At 56.3% G+C, this 18,892-nt stretch overlaps 1 protein-coding gene across 1 annotated transcript, besides 4 other annotated features; it reads right to left on the minus strand.

Annotated features, from left to right (window-relative positions):
- Positions 1 to 295: 295 nt before the first annotated feature.
- SHISA7 (shisa family member 7) lies at positions 296 to 14,856 on the minus strand. The gene is made up of 4 exons (NM_001145176.2): positions 13,749 to 14,856; positions 12,167 to 12,321; positions 9,161 to 9,310; positions 296 to 5,352 (listed from the first exon to the last, which is right to left on the minus strand). Exons 1-4 carry the CDS (start codon positions 14,417 to 14,419, stop codon positions 4,712 to 4,714), a joined length of 1,617 nt encoding a protein of 538 aa, NP_001138648.1. The 5' UTR covers positions 14,420 to 14,856; the 3' UTR covers positions 296 to 4,711.
- Positions 12,036 to 12,105: a silencer, noted in NCBI's record as "silent region_11032". NCBI's record gives its function as "represses an Ori minimal core promoter by ATAC-STARR-seq in GM12878 lymphoblastoid cells {active_cell/tissue: GM12878}" and the evidence as "EXISTENCE:reporter gene assay evidence [ECO:0000049][PMID:35858748]".
- Positions 13,548 to 14,176: an enhancer, noted in NCBI's record as "H3K4me1 hESC enhancer chr19:55953359-55953987 (GRCh37/hg19 assembly coordinates)". NCBI's record gives its function as "activates a minimal SCP1, AML or CMV promoter by ChIP-STARR-seq in primed H9 embryonic stem cells {active_cell/tissue: H9 hESC(primed)}" and the evidence as "EXISTENCE:reporter gene assay evidence [ECO:0000049][PMID:30033119]".
- Positions 13,670 to 13,759: a silencer, noted in NCBI's record as "silent region_11033". NCBI's record gives its function as "represses an Ori minimal core promoter by ATAC-STARR-seq in GM12878 lymphoblastoid cells {active_cell/tissue: GM12878}" and the evidence as "EXISTENCE:reporter gene assay evidence [ECO:0000049][PMID:35858748]".
- Positions 18,598 to 18,892: a silencer, noted in NCBI's record as "tiled region #4976; HepG2 Repressive non-DNase unmatched - State 20:ReprD, and K562 Repressive DNase matched - State 8:EnhW". NCBI's record gives its function as "represses a minimal TATA promoter and a strong SV40 promoter by Sharpr-MPRA in HepG2 and K562 cells {active_cell/tissue: HepG2 | K562}" and the evidence as "EXISTENCE:reporter gene assay evidence [ECO:0000049][PMID:27701403]".

The raw sequence follows: 18,892 nt of genomic DNA on the forward strand, positions 1-18,892 counted from the left end.
GGAGGTGACCTCTAGAATCTACAAACAAATGCTCACATGCTCAGAGGACAGAGGGCTTTGTTAGGACAAAACCCAGAACTTAGAAGCACCTTACAGTGCACCCCCACATCCATCCCCTGACCCCTCAGCTAGGTGGTGGGCCCTGGCCTGGGAACAAATGCTTCAAGCCCAACCTTTGGCAAATTGCCCACCTACTACACCCAGCTACACGTTTGAGGCCAGGGGGCCTCCCCTGTGACCCATAAACGTGGGTGGAAATCCATCCTTTCTCCACAGTAAGCCTTGAGACCTTCGATCAGGAAAATGTCTATTTATTCCAAAAAATACCAAGTCGCAGCTCCTCTGGCTGTCCTCACCAGGGAATTAATTAGGGGAAGGGGCCAGTGTTGGAGAGGGGGTGGAGAGAGGAAGTGATGAGGAGGGAGGCAGAAGCTGTTGGAGGGTCTTCAGGTGTGGAACTATTTATCTTCTCCCTGTGAAGTGCCCCCTCCCATGCTCCCCCAACCAGACGGGGAGATGCCTGTGTGTGTGTGCTTGTGTATGCATGGGTTTGTGTGCATTTGCATTTGTTGGGGCATGGGGAAGTCTCAGATGACGAGGTCCCAGCTCAAGACATGTGGAGGGGAATTGTCAGTACACACCTGCTCCCACCCCTCAAGACCTCTCTCCTCTATGGCTTATTTGAGATCAAATCAAGGCCCCAGGGTCAGGCAGCCTGTGCCAACTGAATAGGGACAGGGCTAGGGGTGGGATCCCTGGAATCCAGGCTGGGCTAGAGCTAGTGGAGGGGGGATAAAAAAGCTGAAAGGCCCAGACCCCCAAATCCCGGCAGCTGGAGAAAGCTGAGTGTTCCGCGGAGGTGTTGAGCAGAGGGGAGGGGGCTGGGAGGGGGTGGGTGCTCAAGCTGGCTCCTTTCTGGGGAAGTCACAGTTGGCCTGAGCAGTGCGGGGCTGGGGAGGCCCTGGAAGGGATGGGAGGAGCCCCTCAGAGCAGCTAGAAGCCGTGGGGTTGAAAAACTGGCACCAGGGCCCAGGTGGATTTGGGTAACCCCCATTTCCTCAGTGTGGTGGGAACCAAGGGCCAGTTGTCTGCCCCAAGCTCCTGACAAGAAGGAGTGTGAGGTGCCAGTGTTTGCGGGGAGACATAAGAGGGAGGGGGACGGCCCAGGGGAGGAAGAAGAGGCCCCCCCCACCTCGCCCTAGGGGCTGGGGGAGGGGCGTGTAGCCCTTTAAGAGTGGGGGAATGGCCGCCCCCGCAACATGGCTATGTACAAAGAGAATTGAGGGAAGATTGTGCATTGGGTGCTGGGGACTTCCTGCCACCCCCGGAGGCTCCCCGGGTGTTAAGGTGTTAGGGAGGGAGGTGAAGGAGCACCCCTGGTCCCGCAGATGTGCTGGCAGGGACCATTGCTCTCCAGTGTCCCTGCTGCAGGATGAGGCCAGCAGAAGACAGCACTGAAGGCCCCAGTCGGTCACCAGCTTTGACCTATCCCGCGGGGGTCAGGGATCTCTGAGGAGAATTTGGCCGGGGCCAGTGGAGTGCTGATCCTGGTAGGGGCCCAAGTGACAGGGATTGGGCAGGGGGCAGTGGCGTCACCTGAGGGTTGAAATGCTTCCTCTCTGGTGATAATGAGAGGTTGCTGGGTTGACCCTGTCACCAATCAGATGGCTGGGTGAGGGACAGCGCTGCTGTCAGGAGGGGCCTGGGTGCCTCACCGGGGGGTAAGGTGAGGTTGGCTGAGGCCACATCTGTGGTGGGATTGATGCAGGCATCATCCTCGGTCAGGAGTGAGGCAGTGACATAAGGAGGGCCAGAGTAGGGGTGAAGTCTTCAGAGGGGGACAGCTGGCCCCACCCCTGTCCTTTTAGTGGAAACGGGAATATGGCCTGTTGTGCTGGTTCCCCTTAAGTGAACAACTGTAAGTACCATGCGGCCCCAGAGGACAACTGAAATACAGCCCGTCACGGTACTTGGCTCCTAAGATGATGGCTCTTGGGGGATGATGGCACATGGTTGCAGTGGACTCTGGGATGACACCAGGGTTATGGTGGATCCTAGTGGGTGGTGACAGCACTGGACCTCATGGATCCTGGGAGATGATAACACCAGGGTCATGGTGGATCCTAATAGATGGTGACAACACTGGACCTCATGGATCCTGGGAGATGATAACACCAGGGTCATGGTGGATCCTAGTAGATGGTGACAACACTGGACCTCATGGATCCTGGGAGATGATGACACCAGGGTTATGGTGGATCCTAGTGGATGGTGACAGCACTGGACCTCATGGATCACGGATGATGACACCAGGGTTATGGCGGATCCTAGTGGATGGTGACAGCACTGGACCTCATGGATCCTGGGAGAAGATGACACCAGGGTTATGGTGGATACTAGTGGATGGTGACAGACAGCACTGGACCTCATGGATCCTGGGAGATGATGACACCAGGGTTATGGTGGATCCTAGTGGATGGTGACAGCACTGGACCTCATGGATCACAGGAGATGATGACACCAGGGTCATGGTGGATCCTAGTGGATGGTGACAGCACTGGACCTCATGGATCACAGGAGATGATGACACCAGGGTTATGGTGGATCCTAGTGGATGGTGACAGCATTGGCTCTCGTGGATCCTGGCAGGTGATAACACCATAGTTGAAGTGGATACTGGGAGGTAGTGGCACATGTTTGAATGAAATCCTGGGAGGTGGTGGCACATGGTTGAAGTGGATCCCTGGAGATGATGACACCATGCATCCCTGCAAATGATGATGACACTATTGGGCATCATGGGTCTTGGGAGGTGATGACACCAAAATCATGAGGGATTATGGGAAATGGTGGAATCATCAGTCCTAGTGGATTTCAGTAGAGGATGTCTCTGTCAGGTGTAGTGGATTCTGGAAGGTAATGTCATCACTGGTCATGGTGGAATCTAGGAGATGATGACACCGTCAGCTGTGGTGGCTCCTGAAAGATGATGACACCATGGTTGTGAGGAATCATGGAGGATGGTGACACCATTGGCTATGGGGAGTCTTGGCAGATGGTGACACCATTAGTCATGGTAAATCCTGGAAGAAGATGATACCATAGTTGTGGGTCATAGGTAATCCTGGGGAAGGATTCCATCCTCAGACATGGGTAACACTTGACCCCGGGTGTGGTGCCATCATGAGTGGCGGGTGTTGTGTGATGCTGACAGTGTCAGTGAGGGCAAGAGTAGGTGTACCCCAAGCACCTCCCCCCAGTAGAAGGCTAGGACTTTGTTGACAGAGGTGATTGTCTCTAGATATGGCAGAAAGAAAAGTGAGGCCAGGCTATGGGACACCTATGAGTGCCAGAACTCCAGGATCCTGGTGATCCAGAGTGGCCTCCTGGGAGCAGAAGGCCATCTGGAGGTCCTGTCTCCCAGGAGTCATGGCACAGATGTGGGATCCAAGGCCCCATTTCCCCTCAGAGGGTCTGGCAGAGATCCTGCTGGACATGTCCCTGGAGTCTGGGGAGGGAGCAACCAAGCTAAGTCATGGTGGGACAAGGCAGTAACTCTGGTGACACCACCAATACCGATGGCCTTCCAGAGTGGGCAGTGCCTCTGAGGAGGAAGCTCTGGTGATGCCATCACAGCATTGGGGGTAGGGGTGTCACTGCCAACAGCCTACACAGACCATCATCTCTGGAGGAGGCCCTCCACATGGGCGGCTCCCCAGCGATGCTTCCTTCAGACAACATCTCAGGACAGGGCCCCTCTCTGCTCTCTGGCATCTTCCCTGGGGTGGTCCTGGACTCTGGGCCTGCCCTGCCTTCTACAACATGGTGGCAGCAGTGGAGGCATCTCTTTGTGCCATCTCAGAGCACATAGCATCTGGGCGACATCACAGAAGGGACCTCCTCCTGGAGAGGTCCCAGAGTGGGTGGTCATCTCTGGTGATGACATCACAGGAAGAGGCACGGTCCCTCTGATGACGTCATAGGGCAAGGCACCTTCTCTGGTGATGGCATCACAGGAAGGAGGCAGGGTCCCTGTGATGATGTTGTGAAAAGGGGACCTTATGTCTAGTGAGGACACAATCGGTGAGGCATTTTCCCCTGCGACGTGTCCCAGGAAGATGGCTTTGTCTGTAATGATGACATCATAGGACAGAGGCATCTTCTCTGCTGCAAAGACACAGGGAGAAAATATCTTCCCCATGGCGATGATGCCAAAAGAGGCCTTGGAGTTAGAGATGACATCATCCAGGTGAGATTGTCTCTGCAGTGACACCACAGGAAGGAATGTCATGGAACAAGGCGTCGTCTCTGTTATTATACCACAAGAAGGAAGCCTCTGAGGACACCATAGAACATGGACATGGCCTCCAGCGCTGACCTCACGGGCCGGCCTCTTCCTCTGTGATGACCTCATGGGAACGAGGCTTTGTCCCTGTGATGACATCACAGAACACAGACATTTTTGCTAGTGATGACCTCATGAGCCGGCCTCTTCCTCTGGGATGACATCATGGGAAGGAGGCCTTGGCTCAAGCAGTGAAGTAATAGGAGGAGGAATCTTGTCTGCCAGGACATCCCAGAAGGAGGCTTTCACTCCTGTCCAAGGGCCGATCTGGGCCCCAGGCCCCTGGCATGTGTGCGCCTGTGTCGGGGGATCCAGGCTGGGACGGGGGGCCCGGGAGGCCGCAGCCCCCCAGACCCGGCCCTGGCCTCAGACAGTCACCTCGTTCTTGCTGGCCGTGCGCAGGTGCTGGGGCAGGTGGTGGCCCGGGATGAACTGCAGCTGCTCCAGCGTGCCCTGGCGCTGGAAGGGCGGCCTGCGGGCCAGTGTGCCCCCGCCCCCGCCGGCGTCGGACATCCAGGCCGGCTGCGGCGAGCCGTGCAGGGCGTGGTGGTGGTGGGCGTGCAGGCTGGACGGTGGCGGCAGCCCGCGCAGCGGTGTTGGGGGCCCCCCGGGCCCCAGCAGCAGGTTGGAGTGCGAGGCGGCCAGGCTGGCCCGGGCGGTGGGGTCGGGGGGCAGCGCGGGGCTGCGCGGGGGCGACAGCAGGTGCTCGCGACTCTGGCGCAGGGCCTCGGGCGAGGACAGCAGCAGGTGCTCCTGCGACACCAGGCGCGCGCGCGGCAGCGTGAACTCGTAGCGCGAACGGCCACCATCGCCCAGCAGGTGCTCCTGGGACATGACCCGCCGGGGGTTGGGCGCGGGCGCCAGGCCCAGCTCCTCTGGGCCGCCCCAGGCCTCCATGCGATAGCCGCCCCCCGTGCCCGGCCGCCGCAGCGCGTGCAGGGGCAGCGTGCCGCGGGGCAATTCCAGGGGCCGGCGCTTCAGGTAGGCCTCGTCCAGATCCTTCTCGGCTGCGGGGAGAGGGGGAAAAGCCACAGCCGTGGGTCCCCTGCGCATCTAGAGCCCTCCCCCTCCCACCTCGTCACATCCCGCTCCTATGCTCCTTGTGCCCCCACAAGGATCCTGGGCATCAGGCTAGCTGTGAGGCCAAAATGCAGATTCCCAGGCCCAGCCCACAATGCTGGGTCAGTAGATGTGGAGGACTTCCTCTTCTTCCCCCCCGCGCCGCCTATCCCTTCTTTTGGGAGTAGAACCCAACTCTTGCTTTTGGGGAACCACTGACCCCCTCTCATCCTGTAGCAATGTGATTCACACTTGGAGTTGTGACCTGTTAGGTTGTGAAGTTGATTTTGCGGGTAGTGAGCAGCATTTTGAAAAATGAAATCAAATAGAACAGAAGAGAAAACTATCAGAAAGTGTTTATGTAATAAGGGAATCAGGGGTAAGTGTTGGTTCATAAAATTCTTACTGCAGACGCGTGTGTGTGTGTGTGGTGGGTGTGTGGTGTATATGTGGTGTGTGTGTGGTGTGTGTGTGTGGTGTGTGGTGTGTGTGCGTGTGTGGTGTATATGTGGTGTGTGTGTGTGGTGTGTATGTGGGTGTGTGGTTTGTGTGTGGTGTGTGTGGTGTGTGTGTATGGTGTGTGTGTGGTGTGTGTGTGTGGGTGTGTGGTTGTGTGGTGTGTGTGTATGGTGTGTGTGTGGTGTATATGTGGTGTGTATGTGGTGTGTGTGTGGTTGTGTGGTGTGTGTGTGGTTGTGTGTGTATGGTGTGTGTGGTGTGTGTGTATGGTGTGTGTGTGGTGTGTGTGTGGTGTGGGTGTGTGGTATGGCGTGTGTGTGTGGTGTGTGTGGTTGTGTGTATGGTGTGTGTGGTGTGTGTGTATGGTGTGTGGTGTGTGTGTATGGTGCGTGTGTGTGGTGTGGGTGTGTGGTTGTGTGGTGTGTGTGGTGTATATGTGGTGTGTGTGGTGTGTGTGGTGTGTGGTGTGTGTATGGTGTGTGTGGTGTGTGTGTGCGTGTGTGCATGGTGTGTATGTGTGTGTGGTGTGTGGTGTGTGTGTGCGTGTGTGTATATGTGGTGTGTGTGGTGTGTGTGTATATGTGGTGTGTGTGGTGTGTGTGTATATGTGGTGTGTGTGTATATGTGGTGTGTGTATGGTGTGTGGTGTGTGGGTGTGTGTGGTGTGTGTGGATGGTGTGTATGGTGTGTGTGTGGTGTATATGTGGTGTGTGTGTGGGTGTGTGGCTGTGTGGTGTGTGTGTGGTGTGTGTGTAGTGTGTATGGTGTGTGTGGTGTGTGTGGTGTGTGTGTATGGTGTGTGTGTGGTGTGTGTGGTGTGTGTGGTGTATGTGTATGGTGTGTGTGTGTGGTGTGTGTGTATGGTGTGTGTGGTTGTGTGGTGTGTATGTGTGTGTGGTGTGTGTATGGTGTGTGTGTATGTGTGTGTGCGTGTGTGCGTGTGTGTGGTGTGTATGTGTGTGCGTGTGTGCGTGTGTGTATATGTGGTGTGTGTGTATATGTGGTGTGTGTGTGGGTGTGTGTGGTGTGTGTGTATGGTGTGTATGGTGTGTGTGTGGTGTGTGTGTGGTGTATATGTGGTGTGTGTGTGTGGGTGTGTGTTGTGTGTGTGTGTGTGTGATTGAAATATTAAAGGATGAGATTTAGTTTAAAAGAATCCATCAAGGTCAGATGAGGTGGCTCACTCCTGTAATCCCAGCACTTTGGGTGATTGAACAGGAGGGTCCCTTGAGCCCAGGAGTTCAAGACCGACCTGGGCAATATAGTGAGACTCCATCTCTACAAAAAAAAAAAAAAAAAAAAAAAAATTAGCTAAGCATGGTGGCTCATGCTTATAGTCCCAGTTACTCGGGAGGCTGACGTCGGAGGATTGCTTGAGTCCAGAAAGTTGAGCCTGCAGTGAGCCATGATTACACCACTGCACTCCAGCCTGGGCAAAAGAGTGAGACCTTGTCTCGTTAAAAAAAAAAAAAAGGATCCACCAAAAAGTGGGGTGGAGGGAGGATAGATTAACAAAATGTGGCTAATTATTAAGGCTGAGTGATGGGAACATGGGACTCATTTTATAATTTTCTCTACTCGCATGTATGTTTGCAAATGTCCGTAATAAAAAGTTTCAAAGATTTCCTGTAATTAAAAATATACACATGTGTGTGTGTGTGTGTGTCTCACGGGTCACAATATGAAAATCGTTTCTGGGCCGAGCACGGTGGCTCACACCTGTAATCCCAGCACTTTGGGAGGCCGAGGCAGGTGAGTCATCTGAGGTCAGGAGTTCGAGACCAGCCTGACCAACATGGTGAAACCCCGTCTCTATTAAAAATACAAAAATTAGCCAGGAGTGGTGGCATGTGCCTGTAATCCCAGCTACTCTGGAGACTGAGGCAGGAGAATCGCTTGAGCCCAGGAGGCAGAGGTTGCAGTGAGCCGAGATGGTGCCATTGCACTCCAGCCTGGGCAACAACAGTGAAACTCTGTCTCAAAAAAACAAAAAACAAAATGAAACAAAACAAAAAACGCCGGGCATAGTGGCTCACGCCTTAATCCCAGCACTTTGGGAGGCCGATGTGGGTGGATCACAAGGTCAGGAGTTTGAGACCAGCCTCACCAACATGGTGAAACCCCGTCTCTACTAAAAATACAAAAATTAGCCAGGTGTGGTGGCATGCGCCTGTAATCCCAGCTACTCAGGGGGCTAAGGCAGGAGAATCACTTGAACTCGGCAGGCGGAGATTGCAGTGAGCCAAGATCATGCCACTGCTCTCCAGCCTGAGCGACAAGAGTGAGACTCTGTCTCAAAAAAAAAAAAAAAAAGTTTCTGGCTGGGTATGGTGGGTCACTCCTGTAATCTCAGCACTTTGAGAGGACGAGGTGGGTGGCTTTCTTGAGCCCAGGAGTTTGAGGCCAGCCTGGGCAACACAGTGAAACCCCGTCTCTACAAAAAATACAAAAATTAGCCAGGCATGGCAGCACGAGCTCTTAGTTCCAGCTAGCCAGGAGGCTGACGTGGGAGGATCATGCTTGAGCCTGGGGAGGTAGAGGCTGCAGTGAATGATGATCATGCCACTACATCCCAGCCTGGGTGACAGAGTGAGACCCTGTCTTGAAAACATAGTGGTAATAAAGAAGAAAAAGTGTTTCCTAGTGAAGCTCTCAGTTTAAGATGTTTGAAGGCTGCTCCACTGTCAGCAATGGGCCACGGACTGCAGAATGTCCAATGAGAGTCACAGGAATGGGTTCAGGGATGGGCATGTGACCCAGCTTGCACCAATGGCATCCAGGCCTGGGATTTTTTGCCGGAATTGTTGGGAGAGACTCTTTTCTGCCAGGGTCCCTGAGCTGGTAGAACGGCAGCCTGAACATCTGCAGGGTGGTCGTTGCCACCACGAGGGGAGACTCTCTGAAAATGAGGCCCGCCGGTGGCGTAGAGAGCTAAGAGACAGCTCTTGAGCCCCCAAAACAGCCACATCGCAATCTGGTGACCTGTAGATTTTCCATGATCAAGTCAACATGTTTTTTTCCTTTAGCTGAAGTAGTATTTCTATTAATTGCAAGTCCAAGTCCTGATGAACACCATAATATGTCCTGGGAGGGGAGACCAGAAGGTTGCATTAAAAAAAAATCAGAAGTGATTCTGATACAAAAGTACCACAGGTAATTCCAGAACGAACTTGGAGTAAAACCTGGGAGAGAAGCTAAACCATTGGAAGGCTCTTGGGCCACTGTCCACGGTCCTGAACCCAGGCTCTGGCCCCGCCCCCTCCCCTTCACCGCCGCGCTGCCCTTGCCAGGACTCACCCAGCCTCTTGAGGGAAGAGTAGCGGTTCAGCTCGGATTTCACGGCAGCCTCGTAGGACGGGGGCAGATGCGAGAGGTTGTGGAAGGACCGAGAGCAGGACAGCGTGGAGTAGTGCAAGGAGGGGCTGGGCGGCGGCAAGGCTCGCCAGTCTGGGTTAGAGGGGGCAGGGCCAGGGTCAGTCAGCTTCCTCCCTCAGACCCAGGAGTCCAGGCCCCCAGCCCCTGCTCCATCAGACCCAGGAGTCCAGAAACCCAGCCCCTCTTCCTTCAGACCCAGGAGTGCAGGCCCCCAGCCCCTCCACCTCAGACCCAGGAATTCAGGCCTCAGCCCCGCCTCCCTCAGACCCAGGAGTCCAGGCCCCCAGCCCCTCCTCCCTCAGACCCAGGCGTCCAGGCCTGCAGCCCCTCCTCCCTCAGACCCAGGCGTCCAGGCCCCCAGCCCCTCCTCCCTCAGACCCAGGCGTCCAGGCCCCCAGCCCCTCCTCCCTCAGACCCAGGATCCAGGCTCAGCCCTCCTCCCTCAGACCCAGGCGTCCAGGCCCCCAGCCCCTCCTCCCTCAGACCCAGCAGTTCTTTGGGGAGTTAGAAATCTGAGATTGTAGCCCATCAGTTCCAGCAGTTCAGGCTCCCTCTTCTCACCCCAGCCCCTCTGCTCAGGAGACGGGCTTGATGCTGGGGAAGAGGGCCCCAAGAGGGGGGTACTGGGCATTTGTCAGCACCCACTGAGTGCCTGGCCCCAGGCTCCATCAACAATGTGGGAGAGAGATGACCACTTTTGGCATCCACACGAGGAAACAGGCTCACTTGGTGACCTGGCCAGACCATGAGCGCCATGAGGACTGGGCTCACAGGGGTCTCACTCCTGCTCTATACTGGGCACCTGGCATGGCTGGCCCAACACAAAGGGGGAAGGGAAGGAGGCCTGCTCTTTTCCGCAGCCGGGCCCTCTTCCGCACCCAGTGTGGCGGCGTGGTGCTTGGGGCTGTTGACGTTGAGGTGCAGGTAGCTGTGGTGCAGATTATCTGGGGGGACCGAGAAGGGAGATGATGTCACTGCCATCACTGACTCCCAGCTGGCACCGTGGCCCTGATCTCTGGGAAGGACTCTGGCCCCAAGGTCGGCCCCACATGCAGGACCTCGTTAGAGCTCCACAGATCAACCCATGCCATTGGCCACATGGGGGAAACTGAGGCTGGGGGTCTTGAAGGTGGAAAGTGTGGGCACAGGCTCAGGGCTGGGTAAGTGGTCTGTCCCAAGTTCTTAGCACCCCCCCCCCTGGTGCCCAGGCTAGAGATCTGAGGGGGTCGCCTTGCTACCTCCCTCCACCTCCCACTCATGTCCACTTGGTTCCTTCTGACATCTGAATCTCTGCCCTGATGTGTCCTCTCCCTCCTGGATCACCAAAGCAGCCTCTGGCCATCCAGCCCATCCATCTCCATGATCAGCCTCACCGAGGTAACTGCCCTTCCACTGCTCAACAGCCTTCCCATTGGCTCACCATCACCCACGGGACAAAGTTGAACCCAGGAATGGTGTTTGAGGCTTCAAAACCTGGACCCACTGGATGTCTGCAGCCCCATCTCCCATCCCTTCCCTCAAGCCGCACTGCTCTCTCCAGTGAGCCCAGCGTGGTCCTGCCACAGGGCCTTTGCACATGCCACCATGCTGTTCTCACTGCCTTGAAGCCCTTCTTCCCATCTGCCTCAAGATCCAGCTCAGATGTCTCTTCTCCTCTCCACCCCTGATCCCAGCTCCGTCCTTGTCCTCTTGCTGCCTGGACCATCATCCCAGCCTCCTCCTGGGCCTCTTTCCTCTCATCTCTGCCCTTTGCATGGGTTCCAGAGGACCGGTTCTACCACCCACTGCTGGCTGTGTTGCTCCTCTGCTGGAACTCCTCCGCAGCTCTCCATCACCCTCAGGACGGAGGCGGAGTTCCTCAGCCCAGCCTGGCGCTCAAGGCCCTCTCTGAGGTCACCAACCACCCTCTCCCTGGCCTCAAGTCTGGTCACCTCACAAGCTCTGCCACCTGGAGCTTCCCAGCCCCAGTAACTCCTCTCCTCCTCCAGGCCTTTGCTCAAATACCTCTCCCTCGGAGAAGCCCTTCTGACGCCTCTCCTCCTCCAGGCCTTTGCTCAAATACCTCTCCCTCGGAGAAGCCCTTCTAATGCCTCTCCTCCTCCAGGCCTTTGCTCAAATACCTCTCCCTTGGAGAAGCCCTTCTAACGCCTCTCCTCCTCCAGGCCTTTGCTCAAATACCTCCCCCTCGGAGAAGCCCTTCTGCCCCCAAACCAGACCACATCTTCTCAGTTCCCCTGACAGCTCCTTGGACCTCTCCACTGATGCATTCATCATAAATTATAATAATATAGATCATATTTAAATGATATACAATATTAAATATGATATATCATATTTTAAATATATAATTATATATATTTAACAATAGCAACAGCCCACACTTACATAGTATTTTTTTCTGTGTTACACATTATTCTAATCACCTGCCTCACCAATTCATTTGCTCTTCACCATAACCCCATGAAGTGAGTATTGTTATGTTTCTTATTTTATGGATGGAGAAACTGAGGCCCACAGAGGTGAGGTCACTTGCCCCAGGTCACACAATGGCAGAGTCAGGATTCAAACCCAGTCGGTCTGGCTCCTGACAAATTCGAATTTGGTAGTTGTGCCCTTGTGTGTAGTTGGCTGTTAGGTGGTCTGACACCGAGCGCAGGGGCTTGAGAATGTCTAAACCTACATCACCAAGGTGCCCATGGAGCCCCACCCAGGGGGGTCCACAGGAGGGCAAGGAGAGGGTCTGGCTCTCTACGGAGTTCCTAGCCCCCGTCCGCCTTTCGCAGGGCAGGACCCGGCAGTGCAAGGCGGGCGTAGGGGGTGAGGGCGGGTCCTGGGCGATGGGGGTGGAGCCGCCATGGAGGGCGGGGCTACATGATGAAGGGGCGTGGCCAGAGACGGAGGCTGCGCCGGATCCCACGTTCCACTCACCGAGGTTGGGGGTCTTCACGGTGTTGTAGAGGTTCTTGGGCGTCCTGGGGGGCATGCTGTCGGGACCGCCGATCCCCGGGGTCAGGGAGCTGCTTCGGGCCCGGTCCGGGCGGGTCCCAGGCCCCGCCTGATGTCTCAGAATGTCCACCAGAGCTCTAAAGGTGGCAGAGAGGTGGTCAAAGGCCTGGGGGCTGAGGGTGGCAGGGGTACCAGGAAGGCTTCTTTCCGCTCCCTGCTCTCGCCCTTGGGTAATCTGTCACTCAGCCTGCCTTTTTCGCCATTGGCCACGCCCCTTTCTCGTTGGCCACGCCCCCTAGAATGACCCCCTTTCTCAGGCCACACTTCCTGCTTGAAGCGCTGCTGCCTTAACTCGTGTGGAAGCCATCGCTTCTGTGGTCCCTCTCACTTCCCTGTGGGCTCGCCCCACCCTGAATCTGGGACCCCATTCCCGTTCCTTTTGCAGCCTTCCCCATGGCAACAAAGGGTGCTCCATTTACCCAGTGATGCGGACCTCAAACATTAAATCACCTTGACTCTTCTTTCCCCCACCTTCATACCTTTCAGCAATCCTACGGATCGAACCTCCAAAACATATCCCAAATCAGACCACTACTCACCACCTCTGCAATCTCTCACCTGGATCATTGCAACAGCCCCCTCACGGGTCTCCCCACTCCCACCCTAGCCCCGTACACTCCAGTCTCACGCGCAGCCCGCATAATTTAAAAAATGGACAGATGGCATCACGCCCGAGCTCAGGACCCTGCAGTGGCCCCATCACACTTAGGATAAACCCGGGCCCGCCTACTTCTCCTCACCTCCTGCTGCCCACCGCCGCCAGCTGCACGGGCGCTTCCCTGCCCTGCAGGCCACCGAGGGCCTTTGCACGCGGTTCCCCTGCCCAAAACCTCTCGCCCACAGATCTCTGCGTGGTTCGCTCCCTCCCTTCGGGTCTCCGTTCAGAGGCCTTTTCGGATCACTTCCTCTAATCCAGCGCCCTCTCTCTCAACACTTTCCGCTGATTTTCTTCACAGCAGTCATCTAAAATTACACTGCACATGCTTACGGACTGGGCCACTGATAGTTAATGAGCCCTTACCGTGTGCCAGGACCCTGCACGAATCAACTCAGTTAATTACAATCCGAATAGGTGGGGACGATGATTAGTCTCATTGTGCGGACAGGAAACTGAGGAACAGAGACGTTAAGCAACTCATCCACTGTCACATAGCCTGTAGGCTGTGAACTTGGATTTGGAAGTCAGGCTTTTCCACCAGGGCAGAGACCTTGTTTTGTTCACTGGTGTATCCCCAGCTCCTGGCCCACAGAAGGTGCTCAAGAAATATGTGTCGAATGAATGAGAGTCTGGGCTTCTCCCTCTCCCTGCATCACTCCGCAACAGCCGGGCCGGCTCTGGCGCGACTTTCTCAGCCCCTGCCCACCTTCAGCTACGCCGGCGGCCGCCACCTGGGTCTCTGACCACCACGCCCTATCCCTGCAGCCCCTCCTCCTCGGATGGCTCCACCTCCCTTGCTGGGCCCCGCCCCAGGCTCGCAGTCCTCCCGCCCGAGAGCACACGCACCTGGGCACGTTGATATCCCGGTGCGCCCGGGGCGCACGGGACGCCTTGCTGAAGGCCACTTTGGCGCCGACGCCCACGGCCAGGGCGAAGCTGATGACCCCGCACACGACGTAGGCTGTGCTGCCCCCGGGGCCCTCGCCCCCGCGGCCCCCGGCACCCCCAGTCCGGCCCCCTTCCAACCACCCGGCCTGGCCGGGCCCTGGCCCCCCGCCCGCACCCCCAGCGCCCCCGGCGCCCCCAGCTAGCGGCGGCGGCGTGGTGGCCCAGCGCGGCGTGTCGTAGTTGGAGCAGGAGGCCTGCGCCAGGCGCATGTGACGGTGCTCACAGCAGAAGCGGTAGTGGCAGGTGCCACAGCAGAAGCGGTAGGAGCCGGTGCTGCAGTTGAAGGTGGCGTCGTACTGGCCCATGACATCGTAGTAGCCGTGGCAGAGCTCGGCGGGAGGGGGCGCCCGGGCCGCCGCGCCCGCCCCGCCCGCGGGGCCGGTCCTGGTGCCGTTGGCGCCTGGGCTCGCCGCGCCCCCGCCGCCCGTCAGCGCCCCGGTCAGGCGCCGCAGGTGCGCCAGCAGGGCGGGCAGCGGGCCCGCGGGCTCGGCGCTCGTGGCGTTGGACGGGCGCGCCCTGGCCTGGCCGGCGCTAGAGGCCAGGAGTACGAGGAGCAGGAGGGCCGGCATGGGGCTTGCAGGGGGTCGCACTGGGCCGCCAGGCTGCGGGGAGAACGAGAGCAGAGGTTGGAGCGCTGGGCGGGAGAGAAACGGTCAGAGGGTGAGAAACGTAGAGATGGGTGGGCAGAGAGGCTGGGGAGGGCGGGCGGGGGGCGGCAGAGTGTGGGGAGCAACAGGCGCCAGGAGGCAGGAAGGGCGGAGGGAGCTGAGCTGCGTGGGCCCAAGTTGGCCGCCCCACGCGCGGTGGGCGACGATGGGAGAGTAATGGAAACGCGCCCGGGCACGGCTGGGGGAGAGAAATGAGCATGGGCGGACAGAACCGGGATCAGGCGAGAGATGAATGCGGGAGAAGCGATTGGGAGGGTCGACAGACACCAGAGGGGTGTGCAGACATTAGGACGAGGAGCGAGGCGAGGCGCGATGTAAGGAGAAGAAACGGGGGCGGCGAAGAGGAGAGGGCAGGGGAGGCAGCTGGAGGGAGGCGCGCGAAGGGGAGGGGAGGGTGGCGAGGGGAGTGGGGACCGCGGAGGGAGGGAAGGAAGCGAGACAGATGAGGGGTGGGTGGGAAAGGAGGAGTCAGGGAGACGGGGAAGGAGGGAGAAAAGAAGGGGAGGAGGAGGAGGGGGAGGAGAGGGAGGGAGGAGGAGAGAGAGAAGTTGAGAATTTGAGTTTATAGACCAGGCAAGTGGGAAGAGGCAGTGCACGGTTTTTCAACACTGACATTCGGGGACCGATGCTGCTTTGTGGTGAGCGCCTGTCCTGAGCGCTGTAGGATGTTTAGCAGCGCCCTCTCCATGCCAGCAGCACCACATTCCCCCGAGTTGTGACAATGTAAGATGTTTCCAGGCATTGCCAAATGTTCCCCTGGTGGGAGGAGGCCACAGCTGCCCCCGTGGAGAACCACTGACTTACACCCCTATGGTCCTCAGTGCCCCGAAATGCCAATTTCTCTCCCTTAGTTAGATCTGATAATCAAGGGATCTTAGGTGCCCTCCCTCCCTCCCTCTCTCTCCCTCTCTCTCTCTCTCTCCCTGGCATGCACACGCACACACACACCACTGTTACGGCGTCGGGTTTGAAGGGTCTCTGTCCACAGCTGAACCACAACCACAGCAGGGTGGTTCCCCTGCCGACTGGACCTCCTGCCAGCTGCCTGACACTGACAGGCTCTTATCTAAGCTCCCTGTGCCCCAAGTCCCCCATCTGTAAAATGGGGATAAGGATGGTTATCTCTGAGTGGTCAGGAGGATGAACTGAGGGAATATGTGTAAAGAGCTTAGAACAGTGCCTGGCATATTGCAGGTGAAATATGAAAGTGTTTGCTGCTGCTGCTATTTCAGAAGGGAGATACAGGCTGAGAAAGGGTCGTCCGGGTGCGGCGGCTCACGCCTGTAAATCCCAGCACTCTGGGAGGCCAAGGTGGGCAAATTGCTCAAGCAGGAGACCAGCCAGCCTCGCCAACACAGCAAAACCGTGTCTTTACAAAAAAAAAAAAAAAAAAAATTAGCCCGGCGTGGTCGTGCGCACCTATAGTCCCAGGTACTCAGGACGCTGAGGTGGGAGGATAACTTGAGTCCCAGAGATCAAGGCTGCTGGGAGCTGTGATTTCACCACCGCACTCCAGCCTGAGTTGACAGAGTGAGACCCTGTCTCAAAAGAGAGAGAAAAGGTGATGCAGAAGAGAGGTGGGAGTTGGTGGTGGTGGTGGTGGGCACGTCTTCCAGCTGTTTCTATGGCAACAGTCCAGCCAAGTCCCAGACACGCCCACCCCCGTGGACCTAGAGGGATGATAGAGGTGGGAAGGATGCCTGGCCTCGGGTTCCGGGAGAAGGAAACGTCTGAGCTCTACCTGCAGGAGGAACCCCCCAGGGGTCTGGGGTGACTGCCCACGGAGTCTTACATTTCCTCTCTGCAAGAACCTGATCTGAACAGCCCCTGCCCTGAGCTAGCTGCCGAGAGGCTGCCATAGAGCTTCCCAGGAGCAGGCATGATGCGCGGGGTGTGCATTCGTTCTGCAAATCTTCATTCAATAAATGTCTCCTGAGCAGCCTCCCTGGGCTGAGGATGCAGCAGTGAGTAAGCCCACAGGGTTCCTGCCTTTACGGGGGTTTACGTGCTAGTGAGGGGGGACAGTCAGCAGATGGACACAAATGAATGGGACACATGTTGACGCCAATTGTGAAGAAATAAAAAGGAATGATGAAGGAAGCCGTGAAGAAATGAAAGCAGCATAAAGGGATGGAGGGGGTGGATGGGATTGAGTCAATAAATATCACTCGGTGTTATTTTCTATTATATGCCACCATCCATCGTGTGTGTGTCTAGGGACCACACCACTGTCAACAACATTGCTGCTGGTGGGGATGGGCAGAGGGTTGGAAGGTGAACCTTCCAGAGCCTCAGTGAGCTCCATCGCCCTCCTGCTTGGGGCCTCACCTTTCCTTTTCAGCTCCAGCTTGGACCCCTCCCCTGACTCGGTGCTAGAATACCCCACTGCCCACTGGACACTTCCTCCTGGGTGTTTAATGGGAGTCTTAGAAGTGGCTTGACCCCACACTGTGGAAGAGAGTTTGGCGGTTCCTTAAAAAGTTAACTAGAATTGGTCCAGGCGCGGTGGCTCACGCCTGTAATCCCAGCACTTTCGGAGGCCAAGGTGGGCGGATCACTTGCGGTCAGCCTGGCCAATATGATCACTTGCAAGACCAGCTTGGCCAATATGACGAAACCCCGTCTCTACTAAAAATACAAAAATAACTAGCCGGGCATGGTGGCGTGCGCCTGTAGTCCCAGCTACTCAGGAGGCTGAAGCAGGAGAATCGCTTGAACTCCGGAAGTGGAGGTTGCAGTGAGCCGAGATTATGTCATTGCACTCACTGTACTCCAGCCTGGGCAACAGAGTGAGACTCCGTCTCAAAAAAAAAAAAAAAAGTTGGCCGGGTGCGGTGGCTCATGCCTGTAATCCCAGCACTTTGGGAAGCTGAGGCGGGTGGATCACGAGGTCAGGAGATCGAGACCATCCTGGCTAACACGGTGAAACCCCGTCTCTACTAAAATTACAAAAAATTAGCCGGGCGTGGTGGCGGGCGCCTGTAGTCCCAGCTACTCGGGAGGCTGAGGCAGAAGAATGGCGTGAACCCCGGAGGTGGAGCTTGCAGTGAGCAGAGATCGTGCCACTGCACTCCAGCCTGGGCTGACAGAGTGAGACGTCGTCTCAAAAAAAAAAAAAAAAAAAAGAAGTTAACTAGGATTACCATGCACTTCCACTCTGCAGTGTCTACCCCAAAGAATTCAAAACATGTGTCCACACAAAACCTTATCCTTGAATGTTCATAACAGCACCTTGCACAACAGCCAAATACTGCAAACAATGCAATCACCCATTATGGAGGAACGGACAAACCAACGACGGCCTACCCATGCCACAGAATATTACTCAACCGTGACAGGTACCAAGGGCTGAGATACAAGCCACAGCATGCACGAACCTTGAAGACATGACGTTCAGTGGAAAAGTCCAGCCATAAATCTCATGTAGTGTATGATTTCATTAATATGAAATATCACAATAGTCAAATCCACAGAGACTGAAAGCCGATTAATAATTGCCCGGAGCTGGGGACAGGAGGATGGGGGGTGACCGCTAAAGGGTGGCCAGGCTTCCTTGTGTGGTGAGGAAAATACCCTGGAACTAAATAGTGGTGATGGCTCCACAACCTGATGGATACGCTAATGCCACCGAATCAAACACTTTGAGAATGGTTAAATGGTGTATTTCCCCACAATTAAAAAGGTAACAGGGACTGGCATGGTTGCTCACGCCTGTAATCCCAGCACTTTGGGAGGCCGAGGCAGGCGGATCACTTGAGGTCAGGAGTTTGAGACCAGCCTGGCAAACATGGTGAAACACTGTCACTACTAAAAGTACAAAAATGAGCCCGGCGCAGTGGCGGGCGCCTTTAATTCCAGCTACTCGGGAAGCTGAGGAAGGAGAATCGCTTGAACCCCGGAGGCTCAGGTTGCAGTGAGCTGAGATCACACCACTGCACTCCAGCCAGGGTGACAGCGTGAGACTCCATCTCAAAAAAAAAAAAAAAAAAAAAAAAAAGGAAACACGTCAAATGGCATCAACCACTCCCCTGTCCGCATTCTGGTTCCCTGTCACACCTGGAATAAAACCCCAACTCTGCCAGTAGCTCCTCTTCTCATCCTTTCCTTTTCCCTTCATACCTTCCAAGTTCATGCTCAAGACGCTCCACCTTCCTGCCTGTGCACGTGCTGTTTCCTTCGTCTGGGAGCCCCTTCCTTTCCACAGATCCTGCTCTGACCTGCCTCCTTTCTCCCTTCCTTCAGGGTGTCCCTAGCATGTCATTTCAGCCAGCCTTCCTGTCCTAGCGGTAACAGCAGCCCCAGACATGCTCCCAATTCCTCACTTGCTTTGCAACTTTCATAGCTGTCATCTCTGCTGGCCACATGTGTGTGTAC

This window comes from Homo sapiens, chromosome 19 (assembly GCF_000001405.40).
Source record: "Homo sapiens chromosome 19, GRCh38.p14 Primary Assembly".
NCBI classification, from domain to species: domain Eukaryota; kingdom Metazoa; phylum Chordata; class Mammalia; order Primates; family Hominidae; genus Homo; species Homo sapiens.

What these genes read in the sequence shown, in the direction of transcription:
- SHISA7 (NM_001145176.2), bottom strand. Translation starts at nt 14,419, where the DNA reads ATGCCGGCCCTCCTGCTCCTCGTACTCCTGGCCTCTAGCGCCGGCCAG. An exon ending in CGGGATATCAACGTGCCCAG is followed by an intron (nt 12,322 to 13,748) that starts GTGCGTGTGCTC and finishes TGCCACCTTTAG; the next exon opens with AGCTCTGGTGGACATTCTGA. An exon ending in CTCTTCCCTCAAGAGGCTGG is followed by an intron (nt 5,353 to 9,160) that starts GTGAGTCCTGGC and finishes CTCTCCCCGCAG; the next exon opens with CCGAGAAGGATCTGGACGAG.